Source organism: Homo sapiens, chromosome 6, assembly GCF_000001405.40.
Source record: "Homo sapiens chromosome 6, GRCh38.p14 Primary Assembly".
Lineage (NCBI taxonomy): Eukaryota > Metazoa > Chordata > Mammalia > Primates > Hominidae > Homo > Homo sapiens.
In genome coordinates, this window is record NC_000006.12 from 96,923,563 (window position 1) to 96,946,368 (window position 22,806).

A 22,806-nucleotide genomic window follows, 5' to 3' on the forward strand; every position below is an offset into this window, starting at 1 on the left:
AACGAATAAACCCCCAAATCCTGTGGATCTAGAAGTAGAAAATAATCGCTGAACCACTGATTTGAGACCAATGAGAACATTAAGGACACCTCAAAATAGATCAGGGCACTGTTCCTAGCCCAACTCTGTGGCAGAACATAAACCTGCAAGAAATAGGATTAACATACTATCTTTGCAGTAAGTTAAATCCTGAACTTCTACAAAATACAGTTTACTCCAATTTAGTTACACTCTTCCTGCTTCTGGTGTCTTACCTCCACGTTGGACTAAGGTTTTCAATTCGGTGGTGGAATACTTACCTATTAAAATTACCCACTTTGCTTTAGTGTGAGTTTCTCAGCATGTTTTACACAGGAGTGACCTGAATGACTCGGAAGTGGCACTTGAGTGTGCCAGGCCCTGGAATTTAATGGTATGGTTCTGTGGTTGTTGTCTGTTTGCGGTTTTATTGCTGAATTAGTAGTAACCACAGTAATCACACCCTTTCTCATTTCTCAGGCTTGGGGATTTCGTCCACCTCTGGCGGGTTGGTTCCCCTGACGTTTCTTAAAGTTACTGTGAATTTGTTCTGGTCAGTACCATAGAGTGTATTATCCTAAGGAGGGCCACTGTAGGGCCGCTAGGACTAGAGGCAACTTGAACTTCACAAGTTAGCAGAGCAAGGACTCCCTGGAACACCGAGTTAGGGCCACGGGGTCTGTTTGCTCAGATTGCCCGCCAGCCCTGGGAAAGGAGTCTGGGGGCGAGCAGGCTGGGTTCCCGGGTCTCAGTCGCCGCAGTGGTGGCTACAGACTGCGCATGTGACCCAGGGGCCGGCGACGCAGGTGCCGGAGAGCGAGGAGGAGGGCGGCGTGGAGGAGGGTACTTCCGGGACCGGCGGGCGCGCGCTGGCAGCTCGCCGACGGCGGGGGCGGGGGCGGGGGGCGGCAGGGGAGCGAGCGCGCTGGCGGCGGGCGGTGGCGTTGCGCGCGGGGTGGCGAAAGGATGTGCGCGGGATCGCGGGGGAGGGGGAGGGAGCGCGCGGGCTAGCTGGAGGCGGGAGGGGGCGGAGCCCTGTGGCGTCTGAACCCGCCCCGGGGGTGCCAAGGTGCGTCTCCAGTCTGACGCGACCGCCTGGGGCGGAGTCAGCGGGACGTGCCACCTGCAGTGCTGGCTAGGGCTTTTTATTTACTAGGGAGCAGTTTCCCCGCGCGACAGTTCGGGAGCGCGCAGGCAGTCGCGCGCACACACGCACGCAGGCACACACACACACACACACACACACACACACACACTTTCGCACACACAAACACGCTAGGACGCTCGTCTTCGCTACTGCATCCCCGAACCAGCAGAGCGAAGCTACTGCGGGTTCTGTTAACCTCAGCATCGTGGGGCGAAGCAGAGCCATTGTGCATCAAGGAGAGGCCGGTGCCTGCGCTGCCGTCTCTGGCACCTAACCCAGCAGACCGCTCACCCCATCGGGTAAGCCAGTCTCTCTCCTTGTAACCTGTTCTGCAGACCTGAGGAAGAGGGTGGGAGGCTGCTGGTGCGCCAAGTGGGGGCAGACCCGGAGTTGACATTTCAGGGGCTTGCAGCCCATGCAGCCTCTGCCCGTGTCGTCTAACGGGAGCAGCCACTACTCAGGTTACTTATGCTGCCAGCCCTGGAGTCGCTCCCCCTTTCTTCCCTCCCCCTGAGCCCAATATGTACTGTGCTCCTTGGTTGCCAAGGAGACTTGCTTAAACATCAGCCGTGGGACATCTATTGAAAGAACTGGTTTCTTAAATGATGCCGTTATTTATTTTGATATTTAAAATAAAATATACACTGAGGACCTTTCGTAATTTGGCATTTGTTAATCTGTATTCAGGTGGCGGTTTCATTCAACTTCAAGAAAAGCCGTAATTGCACTATATGGTATGCTTTAAAAAGGATTCGTCAGATGAATTTTTCAACGGATTGTGTCTTGAATCATAATTTACTCCCATTTTGGTGATCTTATAAAGAAAGATGACTGCAGTTTAGATCCCTTCTTCCCCTCTATTTCCAGTTTTATTTTGCAGTTCACTTAGTCGTGATTATTTTAAATTAAAAGCAGATGATTTAATTGTGTTTCCCCACACAAGAATGAGCTTCTATTGTAAATTGACCAGAACAGGAATACGTTTGTGAATTCGTAACGTAAGAAGGTAGCATTCATGACATACATCTTTGCTAGCATTTTTATATCCCCTGCATCAGTATTGAAGCGCAGTTTTTTGCACCTCTGCTCATTTCTGAGAAGATTCTGTTTTTTAAAAAATCTCTTATTGATTATTTTTAGATCTATCTCTATACACAGATAGAGATAGATATAAAATGTGTGCCATGGCTTACTAGAGCTTATATGAAAGTGCAGTGGTTTTTGCTTTTTGTTTTTTTTCTGATGGGACTGGGTCCTCTACTGGAACACTGATAGGCCAATGGAACAGGTCAGCCTAATACCTGGGCTGTCAGTTTTGTTTTATTTTGAGGTCTCGGGTGTCTATTGGGTGAACTTGTAACACAGTACTTGAAGGCATCAGCAATCCAGTAATTACACTTTGCACGAATTTCATGCCTCCATCACAAACAAATGGCCCAGTAAAGATCCACTGGCATTCAAGAATTAATTTTGTTTTCCTTGGATATTTGTTCATCTTTTCTACTTCTTGTTAAATGACCCAAGGAAATAAGTCAAATTCTTCTAATTTAGATTTTAAACTCTGTCATAGAGAGTGTAATAAATAATGTGAGGAGCAAGTAAGCCAAATAATGACAGAGGTAGATAGAGGGGATTTATGCAATTCACAGAGCTTTGGGAGATGAATGATGACAAACATTTTACATTACAGTGTAGAAAGCACTTTTCATATACTTCTTTTTTAATCCTCACAACAACCCTTTGAGGCCAATAAATTACCTTCCATTTAAAGCTGAGGAACCCAAGACTCAAACCTTGCTGAAGGTCACAGCTAGTGAATGGGGAAGCCCTTTCTGGATCCAGTCTCCTTGCCTTTAAAAAAAAGTTGTGTGTGCGTTTCAGATGTGTGCAGGGATCTGACAAGTGAGATAAAGGAGTGGAGCAGGCCTAGACAAGACACGTGGGAGAGAGGGTAGGGAGTGGAGTGTGAACTGTGGCCTCTGGAACTTGCAAACCACTGTAAAGGAGGCAGCTCCCACTCCACTGTAGCCGATTGTTACTGTCCAGGCTCTAAAACATGACAGTTTTTTAAGGAAAACAGAAGCTTCTGGATTTTTTTTATGAGGTATCCTTAATTTTAAAAACTGTAAGGACCACATTAAAAATTGTATCTGGGTCATATCTAGCCTGTGGCCTGCTAGTTAGCAACCCATAATTACTGATGTCTCACTCAATTATAAGTTAGTATTCTCTAACAAAATACTGATGTGAAAAAATACATCCATCATTGTGAGTGATCAGTTTTTTATTTCAATATTAAAGTCTAATAAATGCTCTACCTTTGTTTTTCAATAAACAGGTTCAAAAATTTTTTGAGGTTTTCTAGATCTCTGTCTTATATCTCAGAAAATAAAAGACCATGAAGTGCTCTAAAATAGGAATTTTTGAATCTGGTGAAACAAAAGCATATATAGTTTAGAACTTATGTTCCTGGCTTAATGTTTTTTTTCTTGCCATAAGGCCAAGAAGTGGAGAAAAACTCAGTTGAGTGCTTGTTATAGGAAGACGTAGGATTGGTCAGCAAATGGAGCATCCTGAGCCTTTAATGAAAATGTCTGATTAAAGTGTTAGATAATTAGGTAAAACCCACCACTGAATACTGCAAGATGCCAAAGGAATGAAAACATAAGTGGGAACTCAGAGACATTAAATCCCAGCACCCTGGTATACAAAATGTTTACTCCTTTAATAACTATCTTGTAGTGAGGTAAATACGTCTTGAGAAGCTGCCATTTTCTCGTGTTTCTCCTAGAGCTACAGAGATGCTAGTGGACTTCACTGAAGTAGGTAAGTAGTCAGAGAGGAGTGTCATTTTATTTACATTGTCTCTTTGGTGGATCCAGAGAGGTGTAGTTAAAAGGAAAAGCCAAAAGATTTGAACAGCGACTTCTCATGGTTCTCTTATTCCAAAATCCCCCTCTGGAAAGATGCCTTAACAGTAAATAAAGCCATTTCAGTTTTCCTTTCATGGAAATATGTTGCACCTCTAGTAAGGAGCTATGCAGGTGTGTGTTAGTAATGTTCTAACAAAGTCCTGGCTGAGTGCATGGAGATACCGTCTCTGCCCTCAATGATTCAGAGCAAACACACTGCTCCTGGCAGCGTCCACTTTTCGAGCTCTTCTGTGAGCAAGCTACTTCCATATCGGCTTCACAATGACTCTATAAAGTGGGCATCTTATTTCCATTTTACAGATGGAGGATCTAAGACTGTGAAGTCCAATTGGAGCAATGAAAGAAATCTTGCAACTTCAGCTGCTCTTCTCTTTTCACATTCCTTCTTCTCAACTGTTACCTAATGCAGGTTATAGACATGTACATAATTGTGATTTTGAGGGAGTTATGTGTTAAATGTTACAATGGAAATATAAGATTCCATAGAAGCTCAGACACAGGGAAAAAATTTTAAATGTTCTGATTGTGGAGATCAGGTCAGTCCCTAGGTAGTAGGGGGATTAGTGCTGGAACTTGATGGCTGGGTATGATTATATTAAATGAAAATCCTTATAGCTATTGAAAGATGGGAGTCTCCACCAGACAGTCTGTTGGAAATGTGGGTTAAGAGGATGATGCTAGTGATACCTAATATTGATGAGCTTACTGTAGCTGAGCGAGTGATGAAAGCTGTGGAAGAACTATGGTCTGGAAGATGGAGTGCAGCAGAGGATGCAACTGCGGATGGGTGGGAGGGGATGGAGGAAGACAAATTTGGGAAGGAGACTAGGAGAGGAGTTGTAGCCATAGAGGAGAATCTGGAGAATGTAGTACTGATTCTTCTAAAGACTGAACATAAAGTCAAGGGACAAACCAAGTATTATATTCTCTATACAGAGACTGGCACACAATAAATACCCATAAACCATGATGATGTGTCTACATTTTTAATGTCTGATGGCTGGTATATAATTTCCTCTCATGATATCACTTTTCTATAGAAAAAGCATACACGTTTTATATGAATTCATTTGGAGTGGGTAAATATATGGATTTTCAAAAATGGGAAAAGATTCTGGCAAATTAGATGATAAAAGATGTAATCGTTTTTTTCTAGTAGAGTCATAGACTTGGAGGCTAAGGAGGCTCTTACAGATACAGATTTTAAGGTTGCATATACTTTTGATGAAGTCTTATATGTTTGGGACAAGTAAAGGAAAAATGTGGGCTGTAAACCATTTGAAAAGCTGTACTCAAATCTAGACAGAAGGCTTTGGTGACAGATAAATGTACTATAATCTTGATCCTGGTTGGGTCAATGTTTTTATTTATTACATCAGTAGAGATATGAAAGAAATGTGACAAGCAAGTGGGAGTTAGACTTGCATTTAACTACTAGATCTTCAGTGACTGGGTGGGAGAGCTACCTGTTAGAATGTTCAGCACAAGGTAACAGGATGAAATAAAATAGAAGGCGTCATAGCTAGAGTCTAGCACTGGGGATATTTGTCATGACAGGAATTTACTTTAAAGTTGGAGGGATTTTAATTCCTATCAAGTACAATATAAGCCAATATGATGATTTGCTCTTCACAGATATATTTGGCAAGTAATGGAAAATATTATGAAAAAATGATACTGTAAGGAGCCCATCTTTCTTAATAAGCAAGGGGCTTTTTGGTGACAGCAGAGATAGATGTGGCTATGTCTCTGTGCCAGGCAGTGTCTTACTTCCCTTCTCTGCCTATAAGACTGCTTATTATTTCAGAATTGTTTTCCAATTTGTAGAGCAGAACTTAAGAATTTATCCTAGAACATTTTACTTTCTCTGTTGTTGAGAATTAGTAAATAGAATTCATTTTGTTCACCTTTTTCCTGGCATTTCTAATCAGAACCTTCATTCCCAGGCCCTTCTTGTCAAGATCTTTACCTAAGAGGAGCTGAGCAATGTGAAATGCTCAACTTTCTTCATATTTCTTTTGTTCTTTCCCTATTTCGTATACACATTGCAATGCATTAATGTATTTAATTTAACTTGATTTTGACATATGGCACTATAAGTTTTGGTGAGATTTTTAAACGAACTATGTAGGAAAAAAAACAGTTTTGCAGACTTGACTTGGAGTCAGATTAGTTCCACATATGGCAGAAAGCATTGAAAGCTGTAAATTTGTCTAAAATAGCTTCTTCCCTTGCAAGGTTGGAGTCACCAACCTGATAAGATAATTTTTAAATGAAGAAGAAATGTCTTTGGCAGTTTTCATGGACTCTTGACAACATTTTCCTACATGTTTATTTGAGGCATAATGTATTCTACTTTCCATGCCAGATAAGCCAGTACCAGTTACTTAGAAGCAGGCTACCCCCTCCCTTCCCCACCCAGATGATACAACCCGTTTGTTATACAAGATATTGATGGAAAAAGAAGTCCCATCCTAGCTGATTGCTTCAGTGAGAACATATTTGATGCTAATGGCACAGACAATAGAGCAGTGGAGGAGGCATTTTGCAATTTTTTATGACACAAATTCTGATACCTCATTTAAAATCATTACTTAGAAACCTTATTATTTATGATTTTTAGTTCTACAATTGAAAGTGCAAGGTAGCATGGCACAACCAGAAGAACCTGAGCCTTGGAGCCTGGATTTGAATACTAAATCTGATACTTCTTGGTTCTGTGACTCACAGTCCAGTTACATATCCCCTCTAACTCTCATTTTCCTCATCTGTAAAATGGGAATTATGTTACCTAGATTATGGAGTTGTTTTAAGATTAAATAAGAAATGCATAGAAACATCTAGTACATTGTTGGTGTGTAATAAAATCTCAGTACTTATTAATTCCTTCCCTCTGCCTCCCCTTTCCCCACTCCTTTGCCTTCCTCAAAATGATGGTGGAATTCATTTAAATTTCCTGAGCCATATAAAATGTTTTAATCTGGTGTGCCGACCTTGGAGCAGAGCTACCCTCATTATGCTATGGAGCTTTTAGTGATGCAGTACGCTGCTTAGATGGGCTCTCCCAGGGAGAGGGATGCATAGCTTGGACTCAATGATGTCTTTTCTCTCTGACAAGCCACTGTTCCCTCTTTTATGCAGCTCCTGGAGCATCGGCCTGGTCACAAGGAAAAGGAGGGAGGGTCAGTCAGTTTCCTCCTACCCAGGCAGCTCTCTGGGCTCTATCATAGGATCTCTTCAGGGGTCCACATCTGCAAAAAGCACAGAGCTGCCCCTTGTGTTCTCTGTAGAATTAATAGTGGCAGCATCAAGTACCTGGCGGGTACAGACCTCCTAGCCTTTCTGCAAGGTCAATTTCTAGAGCCCACATCTTTCTTGACAACTAGAAGTTTCCCTTCATGCTGAATTATGTAAATTTTATGAAAAGGTCAAAAGCTCACCAGGATAAAAAACAAACAAACAAACAAAAAACACTCCTCAAATTCTCTTTCAAGTCAGATAGGATTAAAATCTTCCCGAACAGAATACTTTCTAGTTAAATCTATGTTTTTTTCTTTTTCTCTGCACCACGACCTCACTCATTCCCTGTTCCCACCAGCAACTCCTTCTTCTGTGTTGAAATATCATGTGGATTTCTGATGACCCAGGAGTGCACATGAGATTAGTATGGCCTGACTCTTTTCAAAGTCACCCCCCGGCTCATGGGCTTAAGAAGAACCTAGACAGCAGCAGGAACTGCTAGCAGCCTACCACATAGGAAGTTAGCCTGAGCAGTATATTGTAGGATCCCATAGACTGAGCTAAGCTTTGTTTTCATCATACAATGGATTATAAAGCCTGTCCTTAAATAAAATACTTTTTCTTGTGCTAAATGTGTTCTGCTTATACCTGGTATGGATGTATGCATATGTTTATATATTTCAATATTTCTAAAGATATAGTGCAATTTCATAATTCAGATGCATTTTTACTAGTTGGTAACATTACTTGAGATACCTAAAATAAGAAAGACAAGTTTAGTGATTGTTAAAGACAGAAAATCCTTTACTCATTTCTTTATAGCTCCAGAAAAGAATATGGTAAAAAATGTTTTGTAATGGAGATTGATTATAGTGAGATGTAGATTCTCAGCTGAAAAATATGGTAGCCGAGATGACATCAGTGCCAAGTCTTTTGTCTGCATCACATTCACAGACCAGCAAAGTTACAAAATCATTATGAAAAAAAAGCCTACTCTAAATGTGAAGATACCAGTTTATTCTAAACTACTCCCCAAGCAATAGTTATGGTTATTATTTTGGAAATTTAGGTTCATAATTAATATGGATATCTGAGTGGAGGAGATTTATTTTGATAGAGTCTCTCGTTCACTTGTTTCCTCATCTACTCTGCTTGACATTTTCTGAAAGGAGACTTTCTCTTAAAAAAAATACTGTTTTGTGATAGGCAGTGGTGTAGATGTAATCAGATGCCCCTTTGGCTGCATAAAGATTCACTAGTCTTTCCTAGCCTGATGTCCTTGAGCTGATAGAACTGACTGGGTTATTTTTTTTTTTTTTTTGAGATTTCAAAGCCTAAAGAAATATGGAATCAATGTTTTTTTTTTCCATGAAAACATTAATTACCTACAATCTGATTTAATTTTGCCATAGCTTATCTTCTTTAGCTTTGGGCCAAAGCTATTTATCATTTCTTGGAGGTATTCAAGATCACCTACAGATGGGGCCTCCTAATAGAGCAAAAGTCATTTAAGAAACTCATGCACAGCCCTTAGGCCTTTCTATATAGCATTTAACTTGACTTTTTTCTGAAATCCCTAAGATTTGTGAGTCTTAGTGTCATTTGTAGGGTTTTCTGATGTTTCCCTTCTCTCACCTTGTACTGTTTCACAAAGTTGTCAATTTCCCCCCCCCCCTTTTTTTTTTTGAGACAGATTCTCGCTCTGTCACCCAGGCTGGAGTGCAGTGGTATAGTCAGCTCATTGCAGACTTAATCTCCCGGGCTCAAGCAATCCTACCACCTCAGTCTCCCATGTAGTTGGAACTATAGGTGTGTATCACCACACCCAGCTAATTTTTAAAAATTTTTTTGTAGAGATGGGTGTCTCACTATGTTTCCCTGGCTGGTCTCGAGCTCCTGGGCTCAAGCAATTCTTCCACCTTGGGCTTCCAAAGTGCTGGAATTAGAGATCTGAGCCACTGTACCTTACCAAGTTGCCAATTTTTGATTTCTGTGTTTCATGCTGTTTTTATCAATGTTAGCCATCAGAAGCCTGCAATTAATTATTGTCATTACATTTTGTTAATTGCTTTAACATCAAATATTAATATATTCTGTATATGTAACTGCCAAGGGGTTTGCAGATGTGGGTGGAATTCTTTGACCAGCACATCATTTTCCTAGTGGTTAAGGGTTTAGTGGTTAAGGATTTCACTAGCATGGAATTAGGACAGGATGAATTAGTTACATGGTTTATCTGTGCAGGAGCATCACCCCAACATAACGCCTTTGAAAACAACGACATATTTTACTCCTGGACCCAGTAAGGGATGAAATTCCCTTACCCCTCAAAACACGTGCCTTGATTACTGAATTTTTCCTTTTGGGCACTGTATTCTTGGAATTCTGCTTCCTCTACTTGGACCTCTTTTGGGAGATTTATATCCTGTGATTGCTTCAGAATTCCGTTGCCATCCATTCTTTGTTCATGTGGAAACTTAGAGTGCCTCAGTCAGCAGCTATTGGTGTAAGACTCCTTTGTTGGATGCAGGGACAAGGCAAGGTTGGAAGAAGACTTCTTGCCTCTCAACATTAAGTGAGCCCTTCACATCAGTGGCCAACTGTTGACCAAGATGTTTAAGAAACACAGGTTATCATTGCTCTCAAGAACTTCCTTAGTTCTTAGATGTGATTCATTTCCCCTTTGTATCTGGAGCCTCATGGTTGACCTCAGGGATGGAAGCATATTGACAGTTTCAGGAGAGAGTCTTTCTATGTGGTGGAATAGCACCCACCAGTATCTCAGCTGGGACAGAGGGTCATCTCCCAGGAGCCAGCCACATGTCCCTCCTTGGCCAGTTTTGAGACCTCCTAAGGACAGTGCCAGGGTTAATAAGGCCTTTTCTTTAGGCAGCAGTCACTCATGGTGGCTTGAGTCACAGATCAGTACTGAAAATCTCTCACTGTTATTGCTTCTGTGGATTACAGTTAGGCTAGGGGTTGACACAGTAAGTGGATTGGGAGAGCAAAAGCAGGTGGAATCAGTTTCCTTGAGTTTTCACTCTGTAAGGAGTGACCTTGACTTCAGAACTCTGTGCCTAAGTCTCCTGTATAAATTGGGATAACACAGATAATCTCACTTTTCTCACATTGTCATCCATGACATAAAATTAGATATGTTAAGTGCTTTGTTTGTATTAAGAGTGCTCTGATACTGCTTTTGACTGGGCATTGTAGGACCTTGCGTCAGAAAATCATATATTTACCACTGTCCTGCAAATACGTGCACTCTAGAGGTTTGCAACAAGGCTGGTCCTCAGAATGACCTGAGGTTGTTTCGAAAATATAGATTACTGGATCTTCTATACTTACTGTGTGAGAATCTGCATTAGTATTGAGTCATTTGTGTATTAAGAAACTCCCATTGAGTAATTATGGTGATAGGTCTACTTTGGGAGATGTGGTCTAGAGTGCAGTGAGCTGCTCACACTCTGCTTCTTATTCCTACCTTCCGAGGACCAGCCAGGCCATCTGGATCTGGGCCTCAGCTTTCTTGTCATTGACACTTAACAACAACAACAAAAAAATAGCAAGTTAAATCAGTTCTGATGTCAGTGCTCTCCAGATACTCAGTGGACATTTAAACAACACAAACAATTCTCTACCAACCAGGTGCCCTGTCTGGGTAGAAGTCTTGATGTGTGATTAACATCTTTACTACTGAAACAGAGGTTATCATTTTCTACTAAAATTTGTGTATAACTAATTAGGCGGATTGCTGCAGAGAGCAGCTAATATCCTCATAGTTGTCCATATGGTAGCTCGGTTGATTAATAACATACATTTCTGCATAAGATAAAACTAAATACTTTTTAATTTTATACTTTTTAGATTTAGAGCATTGATAGTGATTACATGGCTTTATGTAAGCCAACTGGAGAATGCCATTTCCACTGTGGATATAATCTTATGGGTCATTGATTAACAGGTTAGTAGTGAACTGCTGCAGGATAGTATGGATATAGCACGATATGAGGAGCAGAGAGACTACAGTTTCAAATTGTAGCTTGATCTTTATTTTTGCGAGAGTTCAAAATGTGCTTTTGAATATTAGGCATTTTGAAGAGATATGCAATTGTTAAGCACCAGTATACAGATAAGAAGAAAAAGAAACCTTGCCATTAGACAACTTGGAAGGCATAAATGAATTGCCGACATCTACAAAAATGATCAAGGTTATGCATGGCAGGATGTTGCTTAATTGTAATTTTAAGAGAATTCATTTTGTGGTGTGTGACTAGCTGAGAGAAAGGCAGACATCATACTTAGGTTTGCCTGTCTATGGTAATTTAATTATTATTGACTATTGTGATGGCTTCCCTGATGTTGAGTTAGGTACAAACCTGCTCAATTCCTATTGCAGGAAACTTTTTAATACTTAATAATATTTTGACTTGAAGAAAAAGTCTTTTGACCTGAAGAATGACCATTTCAGGACTAGAATTGTTTTATTGAGTTACCTTTTCCCCCCATAAAGTAAGGTAAATGCTGTCTGTGGAACTTCGGCAAATTAGATTTTGGTTGGACTCTTCTGCCTTTTTTGTGAAGGAAAAGAGGAGGGGTCTGGGAGAAAAGAGGGAACACTAACTGTGAAACCGCGTCTATCATCAATTGATTTTGAACTTGCAGCCTCATTAGGTGGTTAGTATTGGGCCATCCAGCCAAAATTATCTTTTTGGCCATCTGTGCCAAATTATAGGGAGTAATAGCCTTGGGCACAGCTGCTGAGTCTAATGTGTATTTCTAACTTGTGTATTAATGATAATGACTGCATAGAGAAGTCCAGTGACCAAATGTGCAGAATAAATAAGAAGGAACAAAATATATGTAAATTTAGAATTAAAAGAAAGGAAAATCTCTGTTTTACATCAGGAAATGACAGTACATATTTATTTAAATCTCTATGCAATAATATGACCTTTTTCTACTCCATCTCTTCACAGTTTCTCCTAAGGAGAAATAAATCTTAAGAGAGATTGGCTTTGAATTTTGGTCCTTCTATGTGGTGCTTCTTGAATTTGCTCTGTGATAGGACACGGGTTTTATTACTGTATCCCAACATTGATTGGGCCTTTTCTCAGCTCAGCCTGTCCCTTTAAGAGAATCACTCAGGAGTGACTGACTGCCTTTGGTGTCACTGTACTTTTTGTTGGTCAGCTGGGGCCAGCAGTAGGACCTTTATAGGCAGGCTAAGTCTAATGTCACTAGAAATATAATTAAGAAATTATAAGAAAATGAGATATTCCATAATCCAATGACTAAGGATAAAGAATGCTAAGAATCAGGATTTTAAATAGACATGTCTACATTTTGCATGGCCGTTCATTTCTCTAAAGTATCTTAACTAATGAATATATTGGAAGGAAACCTACCTTATAGTGAAGGAAGCCTTTTAAAAACTCACCCAAAGAAAGTGAAATGATTTGGCACATAGAACATAGTAGCATAGTTCCCTATACATGCTTTACAATTTTTTTTCCTTCAAGCCTACCTCATCCAGAGCCTCTCCATTTTTGGTTGTTCAGCACCCAAACCTTGGAAACATCCTTAGCTTCTTCCTCTCACAACTTACATCCAAACAGTCAGGAAATTCTGTTGGCTCTACCTTCAAAGTATACCCAGAATCTGACCATATGTCACAACTTCCCACTACCATTCTTGTCCCAGTCAACATTACCTGTTGCTTAAATCATTGCAGCAGATCCCCAGAAGGTCTTCTTTGCCTCCTATAGACTCTTCTCCACACAGCAGCCAAAAATTTTGTTTTAAAACCTGAATGAGGCTATATTTCTTTGCCTAAAACTGCAGCAGCTTCCATCCCAAGAACCAGACCCTGTATACCATCTATCCCTCTCTTATCTCCCATTGCCTTGCCCATTCCTGCCTTAGAACTGGTGTCTCACAGTTGGTAATACCCTCGGCCTGGAATGCCCTGCCTCCTGCCTACCCGCAGGCCCACTGTCTTACCTCCTTCGGGTCTTTGCTCAAATGTCACTTTCTCAATGAAGTCCATTGTGATCACTGTGCTTAAAATTACAACCTGCCCACCACCCCAACCCCTTCACTCTCAATTCATCTTACCCTGTATTTTTTTCCCCACAGCTCTTATCGATTAAAAAAAAAAAGTTTTACTGAGGGAAAACTTACATATCATTAAAGTTCACCCATTGTAACTGTGTACAGTTCAGTAGTTTGTAGCAAATGTATAGCGTTCTGTAGCCACCAACACAATCCAGTTTTAGAACATTTCTGTCACCGCAAAATGTTCCCTCATGCCCATTTGCAGTTATTCGCCACCCCCTCTCCATCATAGGTAACCTCTGCTGTGCTTCTACATCTGTACATTTGCCTGTTCTAGACATTGGCATATTTGTCTTATTTGCTTAGTGCTTAGCATGTGTGGTTCAAAAGATGAAGGAGCTGCATATTTGTTAAATTTGGATATTACCATATTTCTTGTGTGTGTGTGAACTTATTTGCAGATAACTAGCGTCAGGACATGGGGAAATTGGACAGAAATGGAAGAGAGATGTAGGGGTGCCTGTACTCCATCCATGTGTGTCTGTCGGGCAACAATCCTGAGGTTCTCTGGGTGTGCCTCCACTGCCCTGTCCCCCTCAGGGAGATGAGCTGACTCCTCACACGTTTTCTATTAATGAATGATTCCATGATTTCTTCATTCAGTTGTGGAGGAGAGCATGGAATCAATGTGTACTCCTGCCTCAATATTCAGTCATCAGGGGCTCTCAGCCTCTCCTTCCACTTCCTCCCGTGTCCCCCTCTACCCTCCATCCTCACAGCTGCCCTTCTGCCTTCAGCTTCCTTACAGCTTCTCTGTGCCACTTTCTTTATCCTTCCATCCCTTCCTAGGGACTGTTGTCACTAATATCTTTAGAGATGTGGCTTCCATCATGTCACTCTTCTTTCTAAAAACTTCTGGCAACCCTTGAATACCCATAGCTTGATTGGTCTCAAAAAGCATTTCTCCACCTGCCTTCTAATTCTTCCCCAATGTGAACCGTGTCTCCTTCTCAGACTCTGTAAATAAACACACTCTCAGGAAATACTGATTCCTTGACAACCTTTAGTGTTATGTATTTCTGATTCCTAAGCCTCTTTGTCAAGTAATGAATAATTTAAAACAAACAAACAGAAAAACCCTTAAAGCCCCTAGGAGTTGACTATTTGAAGAAATCCAGTAACTTATCTGTATATGTTTTCCTAAGTCTGTCATTCTCAAAGCATCACAGCTCCAAATTTGCTGTATATTTACCAAGGGTGTCTCTGGCCACCAGAGTAGTGAAGTTATAGTTACAAGATAATTCCATAGTGGAAAAAAAAACAAATGTGTGGTTCAGGCTCACCAGCATCAGGATCAGACTTCAGTTCCACTAGGTTCCCTATTGTTCCCTGCCAGAGGGTCCTGGGGTCCCTGGCCAGGTGGTACTGGGGCAGGGCTGGGCCCCACAGTGGACACCTTCTCTTCTGGGCTCCACCTTCCGGCATGCTTCTCGTGTCCTGCAGATACCTCATCAGCATTCTCTGTGCTGCTGTTGCTGCTTCTGACTGCTCTGGTCCTCCCTGATGACCAGTGGTATTAAGGCTGCCTGTGGACCACACTGTTCACCAGCCACTGGCCTCCTCCACAGCCAGTGGGCTTTGGCTGCTTGTAGCTTCCTTTCTCTCTTCCTGCAGCAGCAGCAGCAGCAGCAGGGGATACATAGATGGAATGGATTTGGAAATAGACGGGCCTAAGCTTGAATCCTGGTTCTTTCATATACAAGTTATTTGGTCTTGGGAAAGTTACTTATTTCTTTGAACCCCAGTATTGTGCTCTGGGGACAGTTACACCCACCCTGCAGTATAATCATGTGACCCACATGCAGTGATGTATGTAAGTTTCATTGTCTAGTGCCTGACACAGACTCAGCACCCAGTACGTTTTTGTTGTTGACTGTTATGATATTCTAAAGTGAACTGCAGGGGCCCAGGAAGCTAATGGCTGCTCCCCTTTCACTGAGGACAGCAGGCCTTTCTTCCCAGGATTACTGCTCTATGGATGTAGGGTAATGTGAATGTAGGCAGTCTTTTTTGACCACCATCTACATTTTCCATTACTCAGTCTCTAAAGCTAGCAAACAACTATGAGACATGGGCCACACCTTATTGGCTTGCATGGCCCGCCTCTCCCCTCTTCCTGCCATTCTGTCATTGCAGGATGAAAGTTAGAAAATACTGATGTATTCTGTGTTGTTATTGCTTCTTAAAGCTGCCATTGGTGTTTTTGCTTATAAAAACATTGCCAGTTTTCTCAGTAATACTGTTTTACTCTGTAAAGAATGCTTATTTGGCACACAGTTACTGGGCATCTGTCAAGTGTCAGGCATTATGCCAAAGGCTGATGAGTCAGTGGTGAGGAAGATAGTCAGGAACTTGTCATCTCTGAGCTGACACTCTAGTGGAAGCATTTATCACACGATCTCACAATTAAGAGTGAGATTACAATACAAATAAATGCTGAGGAGGAGAGGTTCATGGCATTGTTAAAAGTATAAAGTGGGAAGCTTTGACCTGCTCTGGAGGTTGATGAGGAAGCCTTCCCTAAGGGGGTTTGAAGGACATGAGGCATCAGTGAGGCAAAATGGAGAGATTGGAGAGTGTTTCAAGTAATGGGAAAAAATTCTAGGAGGAAACACAGTGTCAACACAGTGGGGTGCAGAGAGCCAAGGGCAGTGAAGGGGGAAATGTGCTGGAGGACGGGTAGAGAAGGACTGCACACAGGCCTATAAAGATAGGTATCTTTATCAGAAATGCCGAGAAGCCATTGAGGAATGATTGTAATGATGAAGTGGCAGGAACTGGAAGGCTAAGATGAGATCTGATTACAGGGGAACAGTAATCAGAATAGGAGGGCACTGGAGTCCATTGATCTGGTTCAGATCAAAGGTCATAGAAGTAGCTTAGCCTAGGGAGGTGGGAATAGAGAAGGAGAGAAATTGCCTAAGGACAACTCAGGAGGTAAAATTTTCAGGGCCTGGTGCTGGATTGAATATTGAGGGTGAGGGAAGAGAAACCTGATGACTCCTACATGGGCGTAGGTGGAGGTGTCATTCTATACAACTGCAAGTGCGAAGGTAACATTCCATACAACTGCATTAATGTTGGTGCCATTTATATGGGTTATAGTACTAATCCATACAACTGTGTGATTATGGCAATATTAAATTTGAGCTGTCTTTAGGACGTTGAGATGAAGATATCAAATAGGTTATTGTGTGTTTGGAGGTCATAGAAAACATTGGACCCATAATATGATTTTTGATTGAGATTGAAATTGCCTAGGGATAGAATAGATCAATTAAATCTCAAGGAACTGTAGCTCTTAATGATTAGGTAGAGAGGGATAAGCAAAAAGGAGAAAAAAATAAGTGTAGCCAGAGAGGAAGGAAGAAAACCAGGAGAGACTGGAATCCTAGAAGCCAATGCAGTGGTGTGATTCAAGGAGAGAGCATTTACTGATGCAGAATGCTGCTGATATCCAAAATGTAGAGGAGTGAAAGTGGCAACTGAATTTGATGTTGGTCAAGATAAAGCATGCATGGTGACTCAGAGACCAAAGGCAGACTGCAGCCCAGACCTCATTACTATGCCACTGCATTAAATCCCAGAACCATACTATAGCCCTGCTTAAGCAGCCCCAAGAAGGCAGAGCTTCCCAACTGGTAGAACAGATAATAAGCTGAGTTACAGAAAACAGGCAAATGAACAGTTTCTTGCACACCAGACTTTGTAGTAAGATTCGTACTTACTCTCTAAATGCTGTATAGTCATTCATTTAGCAGACGTTATTGGATGCTGTATATAGAAATGAGGTGAGAGGCGCTCCATGCCCTGAATACATTCATAGAACAGCCGAGAGAAAAGATATAACAATAATACACCCATAATTGTGATGTAGGCATAAGGTAAGCATCACTAACACAGGCACAAATTGTTGGAATTCAGAGAATGGAAAGCGTAATAGATGATGTGAAATGTACAAATCAAAAATAGAAACGTGAAGTGCATAGTCCTGGAAATCAGATAATTAACACCTTAGGATTTACTGTAGAGTGGCACTGATAGCTCATTAGCCTTTCTTAGCCATTATTTCTTCCTTTGTACTTTTGTAAATAATTTTTCAAGTCTTTTCAAGGGTTTGTTTACAAGGTTGAAATTTTAAAAAATAAATTTTGCTTGAAAATGCTTTAAAAGGTACAACTTCTATGATTCGCCTGTTCAAGTCAGCACTACTTTAATAAAGATAGTGAAAAAGGTATATTTTGTTCTTTCCACCTGGGTTGACACTGGTTTCAAAAATATTAACTTTGAGAAATATTCTTACCAAATACTAAGGCTTCTCTCTAGGAAGTGGTGAAACAAACATGCATTTTGATATTTAATTTAAGAGATATCATGATTCTTACTTATCATGTATTTTCTGAAAAACCTGTTGTTATTCCCATTAAGAATTAGCCATACTTAATCTGATTTAATTCTTAAATAAGTTTTCTGAGTGACTTACATTTTAGTCAAATGAAATGATAGCTCTGAGAAGCATTGATATTATTAAGCAGAAGAGGTTTGATATGATGTGATGACCAAAAAACAATCAAGGTAAGACTAGATGTTGTAGTCAACTTCACGTAATCCACGAAAGCCCCTCTTATGCTATCTCTTGAATAAGTGAGCCTGAGAAAGTATCCTCTCAGGAGCCTCTGTGGGGTTCCCTGCTGCACAAGGATCACCTGGGTTGGTGTCACATAGCTGCCTTTTTTCTCTGATTTGTCCTTTACTGATCTCTTCCATCTAAGCAATGAGAAGACCCCCAAGAACAATTTGGAACACTTTCCTCTGACCTCTTACTTTTTCTCTGTTGTGTGTAATTGGGATGAGGGGTCAGGTGCAGGAAGTGGTTGTCCCATAACTTTTTGAGAATCAAATAAATGGTCCAGATCCTTATTCCTATGCAAAATGCATGTATGAATATGGTCTCAGAGAAAGAATGCAGAAAAAGACTGGCATATGTACTGTATATATAGTAACTTAGGTAAGGTCTGTTTATGGAACCCCTTTAGAAACCTCTGTTCTTAACTATCTTGGGCCATGATCTGAAAGAGTTCCCTGAAGCACATGTGTTGCTCTAACATTCTCCTGCTTTACAGCCAGCGGTTACCCCACAGTCACTGTTTGTTAGCTTAGGCTTCACTGCCTTTTGCAGCCCAAGATCTGCTGGCCCCACTTGTCTGGGTCAGTCCAGACTGGTGCTGCCCCTGTACTACTGCTGTCCCCCTCACCATCCTTTCCAGCTACTGCTGCCACCTCGCACCTGCCAGATGCCCAACATGCTTCTTCACCTCAATCTCAGTCCAAAATCTGTGCATCAAGCCATCTGTGCTCAATACCCATTTCCTCCATGAAACCATTCCTGATTAGCTCTACCATGCAATAATTTCCCTTGTTCTAGACATCTTCATCTAATCTGCCATTTAGCTGTGGAGAGTTGCCTTTTGTTGTTCTCTGGTTATCTTATGTGTGTTTTCTTAATTTGAAAGTATATGAATGATAGAAGCTATGTCTTGAAGTGTTAAGGCTGGAAAGGACATTAGCATTGAAATCCTCAATCTTTTATCCCACTTCAGGAAATCAGTAACAGTGACTTGCTACAGCTGTGGGGTGTGTGTGTGTGTGTGTGTGTGTGTGTGTGTGTGTGATTCAGAATATCCCTTCAGGGTCATATTTGATTCTCAAGGAAGAAGAGAGAGGGGAGAAAGCATAGAGAGATTGAAAAAGACTTTCCCCAGGTTATTCTGATGCCACCACCTCCCTTTCTACCTCCATCTCTAGTTTTTTATTGTCCTCATTCTGCAGAGAATCACTCCTTACGGCAGAATGGCTTTCGATCAAGCCTGAGTAATGTGTAGCAACCTGTTCACCTCTCTCTTGCCCACATGCCACAGTTAAAAATTAAATTAAGCATTCAGGGCTAGAGATTTAGAGGAGGGACTGTAGGCTAAAAGAGAAAAGAGAAATGAGATGTATTGTTCATGCTCCCTCTACACACACACACACACACACACACACACACACACTCTGTACATACACACACATATATGCACATACATATACACATATACACATACCAGCATATAGACACATATGCACACACATATATACACATACATACACACACATGCCTATACATACACACATACATTCTAACCACCTATCCTGGGGTAAAGGACTGTGATAGGGCCATTATTCTTTTCCTCAAAATGGATTTGGCTTATGGTAAATGCAGAGTTCATATTCCTCTAGAACCAGCTCTTAAAGGGTTGGTCTCTTGGTGTCATTCACACAAGACCTGTGCGGTAATATGATATTTACTTCTATTTCCAAGAAGAAGTAAAAAAAAAAAAAAAACCTTATACTGTTCTACCAAGGAGATTTCTCACCCACACACAGGCTGACACCTGTTTTACTTATTACTGCTGACCCCCAATGTTGGATAACTTCACATCAGCTGTAAATCCCACAAACTGATTTAATTGGATTCCTCCACATTTTGTATGAGAAAGCAGAAGCCCAGGGAAACAAACTGGCTTGGCCAGTGAAACCCTTAGTAGCAGAGCCGGGACCAGGACCCAGGTCTCCGAGGTCTTGTCTTTACTGGTTGCTCTTCTTTGGCTTTGCGGCCCCTGTAGTGCCTCGCACAAACACATTTCATAAGCCTTCACTGCTTCCTTTTCCAGTTAAACACTTCGAGCTTCCTGCTTTTTTCTTTTGCCATATGCACAGACACTTGCCCCAGCCATCTGGGGAAGGGAAAAGTCATATCTGGCAGGGGAACGAGTGTGCAGATGCATTCTTTTTATAATTACTGAAAAGAAGGTTGTTGGAGGTATGATTTATTTAGCCAGCTTCTTCAGATCTAGATTCAAAAGCTGTTCTCATGTTCAGAAAATATTTTATTTTGTACAAAACTCTCAGGACATTAATTCCTTCTCAACCTGTGGTCTCATTTTTCAGCATGTGCCTCTCACTGAAAGCTAGTTCACCACCAGCATTAATTTGACCCCCAGCTGTATTCGTTCCCTGTCAGTTCTTGTCCTCCAGGCTGTTGCTCATCGTTATATCAAAGATGGGAGCAACTGGAATTAGATGCCTGTGATTATTAAGACGGTAATTACTGATCATGCTGACACCAGTAATATTAACTGGTGTTTAAATAATTTAAAATGTTACCTATGAGGCATGCATGAATTCAAGGTATCAGAATAAAAGGCACTATCTAAAAGAGCCTAGGCAAGAATAAAATATTTGTTCTTGTTTTATTCAGATATTCTGGCTTAAAATGCTATGCAAGGATGATGGACTTCCTCTAGTTTAAACAGTTGTTTTTAAGTTTCTTTACAATAGACCTACATAATATGGTTCTAAGGAATGCTGTTTGTGGGGAACAAATTAGTTTTATTAGATTTCTCAAGTCATTAACATAACTTAATAACTTAATATTCTACTACAATGGCCCCATCTGCCATATGGGTTTTATGAGTTTGATGATGCTATATATTCATATTGTACTTCATAGTTCAGGAAGTACTTGCCAACTCATCATGTCATTTAGTCTTAAAAGTATTGTGGGGGATGTAGGTTTACCTCTGTCTTAATGGAGAAATAAATGTTGGCTCAGAAAGGCTATATTACTTGTTCAAGTTGCATGAGTAATAAGTTGTGAGGTTAGAAGACGAGATTTGTTGGTGACTTCACAACACTTTCCAAATCTGTGAAGTGACAGTAAACTGTACACCATAGCCTTGCTGTACTTGGGAAAATAAAAGAAATACTGTCTTCTTTGGTGGAATCTTCTGAATCTATTCTTCATCGAAGAATAAACAGTCTTAGGAAGGAAAAGAGCTTTTCATGGACTTACAAGAGCTTTTCTTTATTGGAAGAATGATCGTCTTTACTCTTAAATTTATAATTCTAAGAATATAACATGACGTTGACAACTCTTTATTTTTATAGATGATTAAAGTGTATGAGTTCTGCCATTTATGAGATAATTCCAATGTGCTGTGCTGAATTTCTAGGTCTCTTGTTATAAACTACTTAAAATATTTTTGTTTTAATTTGGGAAGCATTTCCTTGAGAGGTTGGATGCAGCTTCCATTACTTAATTTTTATTTATTGTTGTTTTTAAACATCATCATTTAATCCTAGCACATGGCTGTGCCAGCCCTTTATGCTAATTGTGGATAGTGCATGGCAGGGATAATGCTAACACTGTCTGTTGCTTACCATGATGCCACATAACTCAAAACCATGCTTCTTTTGAAGAGTTGCAAAACCACATCCAACTCCCTTAGAGCAGAAATCCCAGCCTGTACCCTAAGACTGGGGCATGCCTGTGGGGCAGGCCCTTTCAGAGATCACAGACCTTGTGGAGAGAATAAAGGTGCACACACTTAGTTCTAGCCCAGTGGGCCAGCGTCAGAGCAAAAGTTTAATTTCCAAGTGCAGCACAGTGCCTACCACTCAATTGTCCCTTCACCCAAGCCTACTCAGACTCAAGACCAAGTCCTAGAAAGAGAGGGGTGCTTTAAAAAGGGTAGGAAAAAAAATTTTAAGCATTGTTTTACTGAAACCCCTATGGGATCCTGAGTGCACAACATTGGTGACTTGGGCAGCACTGGCACTTAAAATTTTGGTCATTGTAGGAAATGGCATTCTTGGGCAGTGTCTTCTTCAGAGAAGTGGGTGGTAGCTTCCCGGGGGAGTCACAGGCTTTAGAGCCATGTTCAGTGCTTTTGGCATGAACCTGGGCCCCGTTGGTGTCTACATCAGTAGATTCAGAGGCTGGCATTGTTGTACAGTGTGGAATAATGAGAATGTGGAGGCTGACAGGGTGATTATGGTTTTGAGAGTTAGTGAGACAAACCCTGGAACTGAGGAGCTGGTCTTCATTGTGTAGTTAAAGTTTCTGCAGTTATGGGTGTGGGGTATAAGGCCAGACAAGGATGGTTTTTAACTTTTTCTGGGGTCTTAGCTTTTACTTAAATGGCTGGGATATAAGGGTTTACATGAATGATAAGATGAGATTCATCTTGTTTCATGGAAAAATATTCACTTTACCAAAGAAGTATCAACAGGATTAGTAAGCTTTTAGATATTCAAAATATGAGTTTATTTAGGAAAAAAATATTTTAAATATTTTGTTTTAAGTGATATCTCCTTTTAGACCAATCTAACCATTAAGAATAGATATATAATATCTATTTTCAGTTTCTGGTAAAAGAATTTTTTAACGTGAATCCTTCATCTGGATCCCATTTGTGGTGCTCAGTTTTTTAAAGCACTTATTATCTCGTGGCACACCATATCACTTAC

The 22,806-nt window shown here is 40.8% G+C and overlaps 1 protein-coding gene across 15 annotated transcripts in view, besides 2 other annotated features; it reads left to right on the plus strand.

Moving 5' to 3' along the window:
• Window positions 1-22,806, plus strand: part of KLHL32 (kelch like family member 32) — a 242,671-nt gene that overhangs the window by 25,480 nt on the left and 194,385 nt on the right. For 13 of the 15 annotated variants that reach the window (NR_136580.2, NR_104421.2, NM_052904.4 and 10 more), the window contains exon 1: window positions 1,166-1,464. The exons of 1 other annotated variant lie outside the window; for it this stretch is intronic. The gene's annotated coding sequence lies outside the window, so the exon portion shown is untranslated. Of the gene's footprint in view, window positions 1-1,165; window positions 1,465-1,852; window positions 1,900-22,806 lie in introns of those variants that run through there. One more of the 15 variants, NM_001323252.2, reaches the window with a different exon arrangement.
• Window positions 893-1,202: a silencer, noted in NCBI's record as "silent region_17409". NCBI's record gives its function as "represses an Ori minimal core promoter by ATAC-STARR-seq in GM12878 lymphoblastoid cells {active_cell/tissue: GM12878}" and the evidence as "EXISTENCE:reporter gene assay evidence [ECO:0000049][PMID:35858748]".
• Window positions 9,878-10,078: a silencer, noted in NCBI's record as "peak5969 fragment used in MPRA reporter construct". NCBI's record gives its function as "represses an SCP1 promoter by STARR-seq MPRAs in K562 erythroleukemia cells {active_cell/tissue: K562}" and the evidence as "EXISTENCE:reporter gene assay evidence [ECO:0000049][PMID:32103011]".